Below are 12,669 nucleotides of genomic sequence, written 5' to 3' on the forward strand. Positions count from 1 at the left end.
TAGATTATAGCTGATGGACATGCCAGTCACTGGTGCTTTAAAACAAAGTTAAAGGGAGCTATGGAGACTTTTAGATTATAGCTGATGGACATGCCAGTCACTGGTGCTTTAAAACAAAGTTAAAGGGAGCTATGGGGACTTTCTGATTACAGCAGAGGGACCTGCGGGTCACTGGGATGTGAGCTCTGGCCTGGGGCACAGGCGTGGGTGGAGGGTGTGGCTAGGTCTGAATTTACTCAGGTTGAAATGTCTGTGAGCCCTGAAACTCCAGAGGCTTAGTTCACAGTCACTGGCGTCATGGGTATTAAAGTTGCTTCATCAGCACCGGTTCTACTTAAGTCCATGTTTTGTTTTGTTTTTAAATTCTGTAAAATCCTGAAAAAAGTATAATAAACAGCAGTGAATGCTTAAATAAGAGCCCATAGGGAGGAGATACGTGGCTCAATTTGGAGTTCATAAATGGTTCATGGAGGAAGGGAGGACGTTTGCACCTTGAGTGGGATTTGCTGGCTTGGAAGGTGCAACACATCACGGGTCGGGTGTTCAGGCCTCACCTGGGTGTGGTTCTGCCTCTGATGAGAACCGGCTTGGGGCGTGGGTGTCAGGGAGGCCCAGGACTTTGAATGGATCCCTCAAGAAGAACTATTTGATGCTGATGAACCACACAGTGACAGTTCTCAGGTCATGTGAGTTTGTCAGTATGATTGTGGCTGATGCAGGATGGTTGGGAGTGGATGGAGAAGGAGACGCTTCCTTGTGGGTGGCAGCTCCCAGGGTTACTCTCCTGCCTTTCATCATGTTGGGTTCAGGTTGGCAATATTTTTGTGTTTTACTTACTTATTTGTCCAGTGAGTCTTTTCTGATGGGCTCTCAGATTTCATGGGTTCAGTTCACCTTTGGACTGTTCCCTGTTACATTGACCAAGAGCTGCCCATGATCCCATAAATCAACTGTGAATACTGGCTTTTGAATAAATGAGTAGGAGCAGAAAAGGTGTCTTAACCTCCCCCTGTTCACCAAGTACCGAGATAGAAATTGCTGAAGGCACTGAGAAGTTTCGGTTGCAGTTTCAAATAGGTGGGGAAATCTGTCTCTGTAAATAATGAAGAAATAATTTCCAGATCTAGTTTAGAATGGCATCATAATGGGGATATAACGTTAGAATGACAAGGCTAATCTCATGGTCTCAAGGAACGAAAACAGTTCTTTCGTGTGCATCTGTAACCATAAAGTGAAAGTCGTAACAAAAATGTAACCACTGATGTGTTCCAAGAGCCTCAACAGGACAGGTGCCAGCCTTGGTGTCAAGGGGATTCTCTGGAGAATTTTAACATCGTAATTTCTATATTGATGTGATCTGCTTCCAGTAATTACTTATATGTTTTCCAAAGACACTCAGCTGCCATCTAAGTTTAAAATTGTATGTGCTTTATTATAAGCTCTCATTTTTTAGGTTATGCTAAGAATAAGAACATGGGCATTGGCATTGCACATCCACATGGATTTAAGGATTGATTTGCCGCTTTATTAATCATAGATCTTTGAACAGTGACGTTTCTTTCGCATGCCTCAGTTTTCTATCCAATAAGCGGGGAGACATGGTACCTATCTCCTGAGGATGCTGGTGTGAAAAGCAAGACCCCGCAAACAGCACACAGTGATCAACGGTGACGGCTAGCTCTTGTTCTTAGGAACCAAAATGCTCTATGGGAATTAAAGAACATTCACCATTTTATTTGTACCTCACAATGATCTCATGGTAGAAACACTTCTGTCTTTAGGGCCAGAGAAGGCAGGGTCCAGGCTGCTCTCAGTCCTGTGGGGTCAACTCAGAGTGTGAGCTCAGACGGCCTGGGCCCAACTCCAGGGCTTGCTCCAGGAGCCCACACACCCCTGCTGGACAGAGTCTGTCCCCCAGCCCCTTCCCAGGTGTATATATCTCTGTGTGCATGTGTGCAGGGGTGTAGTGTATGTGTGTATGTGTGTGCATGTGTGTACATGTGTGTGGGAGTGCTTGTGCATGTCTGTACATATGATGCCTGTGTGCATGTCTGTACATGTGTATGCCTGTGTATATATACCTGTGTGTGCAGGGGTGTAGGGATGCAGTGAATGTGTGTATGTGTGTGCATGTGTATTTACCTGTGTGTGCTTGTGTGCATGTCTGTATATGTGTGTGCATGTGTGCAGGGGTGTAGTGCACATGTTTATGTGTGTGCATATGTGTACATGTGTATGGAAGTGTTTATGCATGTCTGTGCCTTTGTGTGCATGTGTGTATGTGTGTGCATTGTATATATGCCCGTGTGTGCATGTGTGCAGTGGTGTAGTGCATTTGAGTGTATGTGTGTACATGTGTGTGTTTGTGCATGTCTGTACCTGTGTGTGCATGTGTGTATATACCTGTGTGGGCATGTGTGTATATACCTGTGTGTACGTGTATATATATCTGTGTGTATGTGTGTGTATATACCTGTGTGTGCATGTGTGTATATACCTGTGTGTGCATGTGTGTATATACCTGTGTGGGCATGTGTGTATATACCTGTGTGTTTGTATATACCTGTGTGTGTGTGTATACCTATGTGTGCGTGTGTGTATATACCTGTGTGTGTATATATACCTGTGTGTGCATGTGTATATACACCTGTGTGTACGTGTGTGTATATACCTGTGTGTGCATGTGTGTATATACCTGTGTGTATATACCTGTGTGTGCGTGTGTGCAAGGGAATTGTGCGTGTGTGTATGTCTGTATATGTGTGTGCATGTGCGTGTGTTTTTTGTGGCCGTCTGTAAGGTTTGTGGGCCAAGCCTGGGTGAAAGCCCGAGAGGGAGTGTGGTTTCCTCTTTGGGACTACGTCTTCAGGATGGCAGAGTCTGGCAAAGTTTGCCGTGGGTTCGTCTATATTTATTACGCGTAGGAAAGTACTCGTGCAAAGCGTCAAAGGGAGATGTCAGATAACTCAGAACCTTCACTCCTCACAAAGAACCCAAACTCTCCTTCAACTGTATCCATTGCCTTTTTATTTTACGTTCGTAAGGATTCATCAACTTAACAACACAAAAACACAATAAAAGATGATTCAACATTTGAAGGCATTTTGAATTTGTGTGCTATGGCATAGCTAAAAGGTAGTTTTAAGAGAGCATCCAAAGAGGCAGAAAGTGCTCCAGATTTATTTGGATGGAAAATAGAACACACTTGATTTGATTTCAAAATGTAGTTTTCTGTCCATAAAGATAGCTGGCACCAGAATGAGTTCTAGAAAGTGACTGTGAGGGGATCTGGTCAGAGGGTGAAGCGATTCGTAAAGGGGAGTGATGGCAAATGTGAGCTTTCTGTATCTGCAAGAGAAAGATGCTATTGGATTGTTAAATTTGCATGTGAATAGGGATGTAAATAGGTTCTTATAATGACAATCGACGGGGGCAGAGTTGTTAAATTGAAGTTCATTTCTTTGGACAATCAGGGACCTTCTGAGGAGACTTCTTCAGATCCCTTCCAAGCCTATAATTACATAATGTGAAAATAATGGCCGTTGATGGGAAAACCGTGGATTTAATGACAGGCAATTTTCTGTCTCTGTTGTCTTTTGCAAAGGCGATGATTTTCTCTTTCCTGGAGGAAGGAAGCGAGGGCCGGTCTTTGCATTGACTCAGGCCCTTTGAGGTGTGCAGGGGGCTCCTCACCATCCACAGCAGGAGAAACTACCACGGATGTAAAAGCCTGCTCCTCACAAAAATTACACCCTATTTTACAAGTGTATACTTAAAATGTCAGTTAACTGAACTCTGTGGGGAGCGTGGACAGATAAACAGAAGAATTTGACCCACACTTTCAGGCAGGGAAACAAGAGGCTTAATTTTCTTTTTTCTATGTCTGTTCAGTTTTAAAGAGAAATTATTTTTTCCTCAAACTGCTATGAAACCTAATTTGAAGGCATTTAAAAAAATTGTTATCTGTTATTGGATTTGGTATACAATTCTGCTTACTCTATAAGAACATAAAGAAATCTAAAGAAACTAAAGAACTCTAGGCCGGGCGCAGTGGCTCACGCCTGTAATCCCAGCACTTTGGGAAGCCGAGGCAGGCGGATCACGAGGTCAGGAGATCGAGACCATCCTGGCTAACACGGTGAAACCCCGTCTCTACTAAAAAAAACACACACAAAAAAAATTAGCGAGGCGTTGTGGCCGGCACCTGTATTCCCAGCTACTCGGGAGGCTGAGGCAGGAGAATGGCGTGAACCCGGGAGGCGGAGCTTGCTGAGATCACGCCACTGCGCTCCAGCCTGGGCGACAGAGCGAGACTGTGTCTCAAAAAAAAAAAAAAAAAAAAAAAAGAACCTAAAGAACTCTAAAGAGAAAAGGACCACCTTTGCAAAAGGCAGCACAGACATAAAATTGCCTGTCATTAAAGGCACGGATTTTCCATCAACGGCCATTATTTTCACATTATAGAGTCATAGCCGTGGAAGGTGTCTGAAGCAGTTTCCTCAGAAAGTTCCTGACTTCCCCTAGAAATGAACTTCTTCAACTTTGCAATTTATATTTGCATAAAAATTTCTACAGCCATTCAATTTGCAAAATATATGGATCTATCAACTGTAAAATAGTTCTTAAGTGTATTCTTTTTGGGTATTTGAATCTGGTGGATATATGGTTTTATGTCTCAGTACAAATCCATCATTCCAATATTAGTCTTCAGCTTTAATTATTCAACTGTGGAATTCTGATCACTGATTTCTCCGAGGAAGTTTTAAAAGTGAATAGTCCATCTTTAATTATATAATATTTCTTCCAAATAATAGAATTTATGTGACTAGAATCTCCCCATCAAGTTTTAGACACGTACGATGACGCATTTTTACTCACAAATTAATAGCACCGCCATTGGCAGGAAACATGGAGCCGCCGTCAGGCCTTGGCGTAGCTGGATGGCGGTGTCCCGGAGAAGTTGCAGGGATGTGGCTGAGCCCAGCTCCCAGCCACAGAGGTGGGTGTTGCTGAGCCCGGGGAGCCCCCAGACAGTGCAAGATGTTAGGGTGGTCGGGGTGCTAAAGCCACTCCCGTTGCCAACTGCGGCTCCAGGTCATGCCCCACCCCTCACTGTGATGGGATAGGCTGGGGCCCTTCATGATGGACGGAACATACGTTTCCGGACCCCAAAATCACTCAGCAAAGGTAAGTCAAGCTGGAAACTGCGTCAGGCAAACCTGCTTCCCATTTTATTTCTAAATAAAATAGCTGCAAAGATTTAAAAAAACCCTACATACCTCTCACAATTTGCCCACTAGGAAATCCCTTGCGGAATGTCCCCCTCCCCTTGTGGAGTTGTCCGGACCGAACCAATGTTCCTCTTACACATATGGGTCGATGCCTCACGTCTCCCTAACGTGTAAAACTGAGCTGTGCCCGGCCACCTTGGGCACACGTCCTCAGGACCTCCCGAGGCTGTCACGGGCCTGTCCTTAACTTGGCAAAGTAACCTTTCCAAATTCGTTGAGACCTGTCTTCGATATTTTGGGTTCACAATAAGAATTTGGGGGACGGCTCCCAGGTCCTTGAGAAAAGCAGTCCTGGGCCCAGTGCGGAGGCCGGGAGGATTCACTTCCCTAAGGGGCAGAAAGCATTTACAGCCGGGGGTGCTCTGGGGTTGATGTCCTGAGAATAGGAGGTCTGGGGGGCCCAGGTCGGGTGACCCTGCTGGGGTTTGGTGGAGTTCCGGAGCCCTGGCCACCCAGGCTGGGGCCCAGGGAGCTTGTCCTGTGATGGTGAGAGTATGTCAGCTATGGTGTCCTTCACACAGGGGCCCCCACAGGCTGTGGTTAGGTGTTTTCTGAGCGCTCTGGGTTTTGGCTGTGGACTGGAATCATGGCACAGGGGGAGTCACGGCACGGGGGGAGTCACGGCACGGGGGGGAGTCACGGCACGGGGGGGGGGTCACGGCACAGGGGGAATCACGGCACAGGGGGAGTCACGGCACGGGGGGAGTCACGGTACGGGGGGAGTCACGGCACGGGGGGAGTCACGGCACGGGGGGAGTCACGGCACGGGGGGAGTCACGGCACGGGGGGGTCACGGCACGGGGGAGTCACGGCACGGGGGGAGTCACGGCACGGGGGGAATCACGGCACGGGGGGAGTCACGGCACAGGGGGAGTCACGGCCCGGGGGGGTCACGGCCCGGGGGGAGTCACGGCACAGGGGGAGTCACGGCACAGGGGGGGTCACGGCACGGGGGGAGTCACGGCACGGGGGGAGTCACGGCACGGGGGGGTCACGGCACGGGGGAGTCACGGCACGGGGGGAGTCACGGTACGGGGGGAGTCACGGCACGGGGGGAATCACGGCACGGGGGGAGTCACGGCACAGGGGGAGTCACGGCCCGGGGGGGTCACGGCACGGGGGGAGTCACGGCACGGGGGGGTCACGGCACGGGGGAGTCACGGCACGGGGGGAGTCACGGCACGGGGGGAATCACGGCACGGGGGGAGTCACGGCACAGGGGGAGTCACGGCCCGGGGGGGTCACGGCCCGGGGGGAGTCACGGCACGGGGGGAGTCACGGCACGGGGGGAGTCACGGCACGGGGGGAGTCACGGCACGGGGGGGTCACGGCACGGGGGAGTCACGGCACGGGGGGAGTCACGGCACGGGGGGGGTCACGGCACGGGGGGAGTCACGGCACAGGGGGAGTCACGGCCCGGGGGGGTCACGGCCCGGGGGGGTCACGGCCCGGGGGGAGTCACGGCACAGGGGGAGTCACGGCACAGGGGGGGTCACGGCACGGGGGGGTCACGGCACGGGGGGAGTCACGGCACGGGGGGGGTCACGGCACGGGGGGAGTCACGGCACGGGGGGGGTCACGGCACGGGGGGGGTCACGGCACGGGGGGAGTCACGGCACGGGGGGAGTCACGGCACGGGGGAGTCACGGCGCGGGGAAGTCACGGCACAGGGGGCACCAGGAGCTGCTCTCCAGGGACTCTCTGCTGCCCTTGCTCAGGGAAGGGGCTTGCGGGGACATGGAGGGAGGGCGCCAGGCGGGGCCACAGCCAACTGGGCATCCGGGACCTTCTGGTCTGCCTCATGCCTTGAGGCCAGTGGTGGGTTCCTCAGAGGCTCCCAGAGCTCCCACATGGGTGATCCTTGGGAGCAAATCTCGGAGCCTCAGCCACCCCCTCACCCGCTTCTCCCACGCCCCCTGAACCCATATTCCTTCTACGAAAACCCCATGACTGTTGTGATGTTCACAGTGGCTTTGTTTAGCCAGAAAACCCAGAGTGATGCAGACAGTACACAGAGGTAGCGAAATCAGTACATAGATTCATATTATTTGTGATTTATTGTTCCAACCCCTAAAATAACCTCAAAGACAATGGGGCAGGCAGATCATTGCCACCCCACACATGCCCTTCTCTGGATGGTTGGCAGCTGTGTTTGTGTGGGTTTGTGCAGAGGAGCTGAGGCTGCGGATGGAGGGAGTGGAGGTTGCTCCTCAACATGCTTGATGTAGGGGAGACCACACTGGGTTGTCCACATGGACCCAGCGCAGCCACAGGACCCTGCAGCCACACGGGGAGCGTAGGGGCGCTCAGGGGCTGCTGGAGCTGGAGGAGAGGCGGGAGCCCAGGATGGTGAACGCCTTGGGAAGCTGGAAACCCTGAGAAGCAGCTTCTGCCCAGAGCCCAGAAGGGAACGCAGCTTCACAGTGCTGGACTTTAGCCCCCAGGAGCTGCATCAGGCTTCCAACCTACTGAGCAGAAAGATGATAGATTTGTGTTGCTGCAAATCACAGTGTGTGGTGATTTGTCACAGCAACCATAGAAAACGAATGCAGATGGATGGTCTGCTGGTTTTAAATTTTCACTGTAGCGTGGCCATGGTTTGAATGTCTGTCCACTCCAAAGATCTCGTGGAAACTTAATCCCCAGCATGGCAGCATTGAGGGAGGACTTTAAGAGGTGACTGCATCCTGGAAGCTCATGAATGGATTCCTCCATCCATGTAAGGGAGGAGACCACCCCCCATATTGTCTTATGCCTAGTTTCTGCCTCCAAAGAAAGAAGTAAAAACTAAAAGGCAGAAATGAAATCCACACACAGACAGCCCGGCGCTGCGCCCTGGGCCTGGTTAAAGATCGACCCCTGACCTAATCGGTTATGTTATCTATAGATTCCAGACATTGTATGGAAAAGCATTGTGAAAATCCCTGTCCTGTTCTGTTCTGTTCTGTTCTGTTCTGATTACCAGTGCATGCAGCCCCCAGTCCTGTACCCTCTCCTTGCTCAACTGATCATGACCCTCTCATGCGGCCTCCCTTAGTGTTGTAAGCCCCTAAAAGGGACAGGAATTGCTCACTCAGGGAGCTCGGTTGTTGGAGACGTGAGTCTTGCCAAAGCTCCCAGCCAAATAAAACCCTTCCTTCTTTAACTCGGTGTCTGAGGGGTTTTGTCTGTGGCTTGTCCTGCCACACATGGACTCATGGACTAATGGGTTGCCATGGAAGAGGGACTGGTGGCTTTCCAGGAGGAGGAAGAGAGACCTGAGTGAGCACTTAGCATTCAGCCCGTGACCATGCAATTCCCGCGCCGCCTCTGACTTGGCAAAGCCTCCATCAGCACACAGTTCCTCAATACATGCAGACCCCAACCTTGGACTCCTCAGCCTCCGTAGGTGTAAGAAACAAATTCCTTTTTAAATAAATTACCCAGCTTCAAATATTCTGTTATAAGCAACAGAAAATGAACCAAGAGTATAGTTAGAATCGGTTTGTATATGCCGTGATGTTTTAGTTGTAAAAGGAAAATTGATTACATTATTGACAGCAGTAACACAGCATGTATGTAAGGTCTTATATCAACACCCTTATTCTGCATTATATTTTCTGTGATTGTTGCAATTTTTTTGTCTTTTGATTCTTGGAATGAGCTTTCTTTTGTGTGTGAGGACTGTTTTCTTATTCCCATCCACAACCTGGAGCTCCAAGTGCTGGACTCTCTGCCCAGCTGGGCCCAGGATGCTCTGACTTTTGTAGCAGCTGCCTGGGGATGTGCTTTGATTTCACTGTGTTCCCTGAATTTTGTGTTAGAAATTTAACCCCTAAGTCACATGTTAATGATATTTGGAGGTGGGGCCTTTGAGAGGGAACTGGGACTCCATGAGGTCATCAAGGTGGGGCCCCCCCGAAGGGGCTGGTGGCTCTGGAAGTGAGGAAGGGCACATCTCATGGCTCCTGCCAGGCCATGGCACAGCAGGAAGGCCCTCCCAAGATGCTGGCATCTCCCTCTCAGATGTCTCGGCCTCCAGAGTGTGAAGGTACCTCAATTCTGTATAAATTACCCAAACTGCAGCATTCAGTCATAGCAACAGAATGTGGACTAAGACAAGACAGGGGGTTGGCAAACACGACCTTTTGTAAAATGTGCACAACACATTGTAAATATTTATGGCAAGCAGAATCGTTTTATGATAACAGAACCGTTGGTCATTTGTGCTGGAGACTGTGTGAATTGGACACATTCCTCTCACTGGGAGAGTTAGGAAGCTTCTGCTTAAAATCCCACCTGAGCCTGTGAGTCTTTGCCCTGCAGTCATTGCTAGCAGCTGAGGGAAACCATGGCTTTAATGACCCACAACCTGGCATGTCTTTGTCTTTTCCAAAAGAGGCCCTGGGCTGGATTCCCCCTTGGTTCCTGAGGGGTTGACCTCATGGCTTGGAACTGCAGGAGAGGCAGGAGTGGGCCCCTGGGAGGTGAATCAGGGAGCTTGTTTCACGCCTCCCCACCAGTGACTCCCCTGGATTCCCCCATGAGACCACGTGTTCATCCCGTCTCATCAGCTGCAGAGCTGGGGCTCAGCGACCTGTTCTGGTTTGCACTTTCCACCTCCAGGGGCCTCACTTCCCCTGAACTGTTCTGGTTTGCACTTTCAAACTCCAGGGGCCTCACTTCCACTTCCCTCATCTTACTTTTTTGGGATTGCACCCCCAATACAAAGTCAGCAAATCCGCTGAGCTCCAGAGAACTCAGGATAATTTACTGTCTTTCTGTCTACCTATCTATCTTAATATCTATCCATCATCTTTCTATGGATTTATTTATCATCTAGCTTTCTATTTATTATTTACCTATCATCTATCAATCTTTCTTTCACCTATTTATCCATCTATCATTTATCTATATGGTATATATCTATTAATCATCTATTTATTCATTTATTATCTATCTAGCCATCATCTATCATTTATCGATTATCTATCTATCTATCTATCTATCTATCAATCATCTACCTACCTATTCATCCTTAAACAATGTATTGCTCATTTTGCTGTTTATGTTGAGGCACAAAAGTATAGTTCTCTATTTTTATGTGTTTATAACATTATTTAGCATAAAATACCCAAGATGTTATCCATTCTACAAGTGATTGAAGGCCTCCCCAACACTGGATTATTAAAAGCAGCGCAGCTGTAAACATTCCTGAGCCATGTCTGGGGCACACATGCAAGGGTGTGTCTAGGGTTTGTATCTGCAAGTGAGTTTCTTGAGTCTTAGGAGATGCACCTGTCCACTTTAGTAAATAACCGAATCACACCTTCCCAGAGTCCCTGCCCCAGGAGAGCTTGAGGCTCCCTTTCCTCCACTTCCTCGCCAATGCACACTGTGGGCAGGAGGTTTAATGTCTGATGCGGGGGAAATAGCTTTTTTGGTTTTAGTTGGCATTTTTCTGGTTGCAATGTCATTGAACATCTTTTCAAACACTTATTGGCCTCTGTTTCCTTGTATCTGGAATGTATGCACATGCATGTCTGTATATTTGTGTGTATATGGGTGTACACACACAGTGCTGTGTTTCTATTCCAGATTAACTCCCAGTAATTATTTTTATATTCTCAACAGTAATGCTTTGTCAGTTATATGTCATGCACTTATCTTCTTCAATCTGCAGCTCAAATATTTCTTCTAATGGTGTTTTCTGATTAATAGAATTTTCTATTTTTAATGTGCTAAGTCAGCAAGCTCTTAATGCATGACTCATGCTTTTTTATTTGAAGAAATATGTTTCTATCCTCAGCTCATAAAGATATTTTCATACTTTCTTGCAGATATTTTAGGTTTCCTTTCAAATTAAAATGCCTATTATATGTGGAATAAATAAATGCAAGATAAGATGTAGGAATCCAAGTTAATTTTTTCAATATTGATAACCAGGCGTTCCAGCACTGTTCACTGCAGGAACCTCTTTCACTCACTGATATACAATAATATGTCTGCGCTACATTGTTTGAATGTATGAGATGCTCAATTCCTAGTGTTCTATTCTGTGTTCTCTAATCTGTTTGTTTCCCCTCGTGCTGTGACTAGGCAATAGTGATTTCTATTACTTGATACCTGGCAAAGTAGTTTCCTAACCTTGTTCTTCTGAGATACGCCGGGGCAGGTTTTGATCCTTTACTCTCACATACAAATCGTAGAATCAATTTATCTAGTTCCATTATCAATCCTTTTGGAGTTCTTGAATTGTTGTTTTTATATATCATTATGGAGAAATGAAATTTCATGCTGTTAAATATTCATATCTATCAACTTATAGCCCAGGCAGGTGTGCAATGGTGCAATCTTGGCTCAAACGCAACCTCTGCCGCCCGAGTTCAAGCGATTCTCCTGCCTCAGACTTCCACGTAGCTGGAATTACAGGCATGTGCCACCATGCCTGGCTAATTTTTTATTTTTAGAAGAGACAGGGTTTCTCCATGTTGGTCAGGCTGGTCTCAAACTCCCAACCTCAAGTAATCCACTCGCCTCAGCCTCCCAAGTAGCTGGGATTACAGACGTGAGCCACTGTGCTGGGCCTTATCTTTCCACATTCTTAAAAAATGTCTTAAGTAAAAGTCTTATTCTATTTAAAACCATTCCTGTTATTTCTGTTTAGATTTGTTTTAGGAGCTTTAGAAATTTTATTTGAGGTTAACTGAAGATATAATTCGTGATATACTCCCTTTAGACCAGAGAAAGAAAAAATGGTTAAGACATTTTAAAAATACTATATGTAAATACTATGTGAAAATTAGCTAATGTATGAACTTAGTTATAGAAATGCAAGTATACTCTGTAGATGAGATGTCCAATTTTCTAATATTTGAATTATCTAGATAATTTCATGTATTCTACCCCGATATGAATTACTTGTTTTGTATTTTGTTACTTTAAAATCTATTCATGTGTTATAGCACTAGTTGGTGATTTTCTAAAGTAGTCATTAATTTGTAACCAATTTATCTGTATCAATTTAGGAATGTGTTGAAATATCAGAAAAGGAAATCTGCTGTGTTTAAATGCTGTATGTCTTGGATCAAAGATTTACAATTTAACTGTACTATATATTCACACATATAATTAGAAATAATGGAAATAGTATAGAATTAATTTATTTCTATCTTATCATCAACTGAACCATTGTTTTTAAATGTCAGGTTTTACTAATAATTTCTATTTTCTTTTGTGCAGTCTGTAAACATCCTGCATATTTCAAGAGTAATAGAAACATCAAGTTTGCTGCCTGGCCTCAGGGCTGGGGCAGGGCAGGTGTTTTTACAGACGCCTCCTACGTCTGTGGTGAATCTCTCAGGCATTTGCTTGGTTACTATAAACCTTCGGTGTTTCT

The 12,669-nt window shown here is 47.1% G+C and overlaps 1 long non-coding RNA gene across 1 annotated transcript in view, besides 4 other annotated features; it reads right to left on the bottom strand.

The window, feature by feature from the left end:
• Window positions 1-5,065, bottom strand: part of LOC105373358 (uncharacterized) — a 34,222-nt gene extending 29,157 nt beyond the window's left edge. Inside the window, exon 1 of the long non-coding RNA XR_001739247.2 lies at window positions 4,879-5,065. This is a non-coding gene — a long non-coding RNA (uncharacterized LOC105373358). The remainder of the gene's footprint in view (window positions 1-4,878) is intronic.
• Window positions 507-1,304: an enhancer, noted in NCBI's record as "H3K27ac hESC enhancer chr2:726648-727445 (GRCh37/hg19 assembly coordinates)". NCBI's record gives its function as "activates a minimal SCP1, AML or CMV promoter by ChIP-STARR-seq in naive H9 embryonic stem cells {active_cell/tissue: H9 hESC(naive)}" and the evidence as "EXISTENCE:reporter gene assay evidence [ECO:0000049][PMID:30033119]".
• Window positions 1,305-2,101: an enhancer, noted in NCBI's record as "H3K27ac-H3K4me1 hESC enhancer chr2:727446-728242 (GRCh37/hg19 assembly coordinates)". NCBI's record gives its function as "activates a minimal SCP1, AML or CMV promoter by ChIP-STARR-seq in naive H9 embryonic stem cells {active_cell/tissue: H9 hESC(naive)}" and the evidence as "EXISTENCE:reporter gene assay evidence [ECO:0000049][PMID:30033119]".
• Window positions 2,900-3,695: an enhancer, noted in NCBI's record as "OCT4-NANOG-H3K27ac-H3K4me1 hESC enhancer chr2:729041-729836 (GRCh37/hg19 assembly coordinates)". NCBI's record gives its function as "activates a minimal SCP1, AML or CMV promoter by ChIP-STARR-seq in naive H9 embryonic stem cells {active_cell/tissue: H9 hESC(naive)}" and the evidence as "EXISTENCE:reporter gene assay evidence [ECO:0000049][PMID:30033119]".
• Window positions 3,696-4,493: an enhancer, noted in NCBI's record as "NANOG-H3K27ac-H3K4me1 hESC enhancer chr2:729837-730634 (GRCh37/hg19 assembly coordinates)". NCBI's record gives its function as "activates a minimal SCP1, AML or CMV promoter by ChIP-STARR-seq in naive H9 embryonic stem cells {active_cell/tissue: H9 hESC(naive)}" and the evidence as "EXISTENCE:reporter gene assay evidence [ECO:0000049][PMID:30033119]".
• Window positions 5,066-12,669: the final 7,604 nt, after the last annotated feature.

This window comes from Homo sapiens, chromosome 2 (assembly GCF_000001405.40).
Source record: "Homo sapiens chromosome 2, GRCh38.p14 Primary Assembly".
In the NCBI taxonomy this organism is placed as follows: Eukaryota; Metazoa; Chordata; class Mammalia; order Primates; family Hominidae; genus Homo; species Homo sapiens.